At 50.8% G+C, this 1,802-nt stretch overlaps 1 pseudogene; it reads left to right on the forward strand.

Moving 5' to 3' along the window:
* CRIP1P4 (cysteine rich protein 1 pseudogene 4) lies at positions 1,068-1,495 on the forward strand (annotated as a pseudogene).

Raw genomic sequence — 1,802 nt, forward strand, 5'->3', positions numbered from 1 at the left:
TGACTGTGGCACTAAAAGCACAGGCAACAAAAGAAAAAATAAATTGGACTTCATCAAAATTTAAACCTTTTGTGTATAAAAGGACTTTACTAAGTGAGTTAAAAGACAATACACAGAATGGGATAAAATACTTTATCAGAGACAAACTACATCTGGAAACTGCAAATCATGAAAGGACTGAGAATGTTTGAGGGTCAGGTAAAATTATGGTTAAAATATGGTTAAAGGCTGGGTGCGGTGGCTCACTCCTGTAATCCCAGCACTTTGGGAGGGCGAGGTGGGTGGATCACGAGGTCAGGAGATCGAGACCATCCTGGCTAACACAGTGAAACCCAGTCTCTACTAAAAATACAAAAATTAGCCGGGCATGGTGGTGGGCGCCTGTAATCCTAACTACCCGGGAGGCTGACACAGGAGAATCGCTTGAACCCGGGAGTTGGAGGTTGCAGTGAGCCAAGATCACGCCACTGCACTCCAGCCTGGGCAACAGAGCAAGGCTCCGTCTCAAAAAAAAAAAAAAAAAAAAGGTTAAAATGGGGGAAGAGCAGTGGGAGATGGAGGTGGGTGTTTGGGTGTAAGTAGGATTTGATTGTGAAGGCTTTGTGTGTGTCCTGGACTAAATAAAGTATGTGCCCTTTATCCTCCTGGACATGAGCAGTCGACTTTTTTTTTTTTTTTTTTTTTTTTTGAGATGGTGTCTCTCTCTGTCGCCCAGGCTGGAGTTCAATGGTGCTATCTTGGCTCACTGCAAGCTCCGCCTCCCGGGTTCACACCATTCTCCTGCTTCATACTCCCGAGTAGCTGGGACTACAGGCGCCCACCACCACACCCGGCTAATTTTTTCGTTTTTTGGGTTTTTTTTTTTAGTAGAGACTGGGTTTCACTGTGTTAGCCAGGATGGTCTCGATCTCCTGACCTCGTGATCTGCCCGCCTCAGCCTCCCAAAGTGCTGGGATTACAGGCGTGAGCCACCGCGCCCGGCCGAGCAGTCAACTTCTTAACCCATTAGTAAATTGCAGGCAGTGGTGAATCGTGATTGGACTCCTGCTTTAGAAACCTCCACACAGTCTCGCGCCTGCAGCCCGTCCCGCCCCAGCCGCTGCGGCCTGCACCGGACCCAGAGCCGCCATGCCCAAGTGCCCCGCGTGCGACAAGGTGTACTTCGCCGAGAGGGTGACCTCTCTAGGCAAGGACTGGCATCGGCCCTGCCTGAAGTGTGAGAAATGTGGGAAGACGCTGACTTCCGGGGGCCACGCTGAGCATGAAGGCAAACCCTACGGCAACCACCCCTGCTACGCCGCCATGTTTGGGCCTAAAGGCTTTGGGCGGGGTGGACCCGAGAGCCACACTTTCAAGTAAACTTGGGTGGGGGAGACTCCATTCTTGGCCGCTTCCTGGGCCACTGTCCAGGCAAATGCCAGGCCTCGCCCCCAGATGCCCAGGGCTCCCTTGTAGCCCCTAATGCTGTCAATAAACCTGAACACTTGGGAGAAAAAAAAAAAAAGCTCCACACAAACAGCTGAGTGGAGAATGGACTTGAGTGGGAGATCTAGTGAAAGATAAAGAAAATTCACAGGAGACCTTGTGGGGCTCTAGGAAGGAGATTGAGAGACAGAGGTGGTGTTTCTGGGTGGAGATGAAAGGTTTGAGGGAAGATTAGAGGTGAAGCCTGCGGAGAGGCAAGCATTAAGAGCAACCCTAAGACTTCAAGCCCCAGAGCCTGAGTGCATGAGGCCACGACTGATGGAAGGAAATTTAGAGCAGGACCAGATGATGTGGGCAACAGGGAGAACCAGGAGTTC

The sequence above is a fragment of the Homo sapiens genome, chromosome 22 (assembly GCF_000001405.40).
Source record: "Homo sapiens chromosome 22, GRCh38.p14 Primary Assembly".
Lineage (NCBI taxonomy): Eukaryota > Metazoa > Chordata > Mammalia > Primates > Hominidae > Homo > Homo sapiens.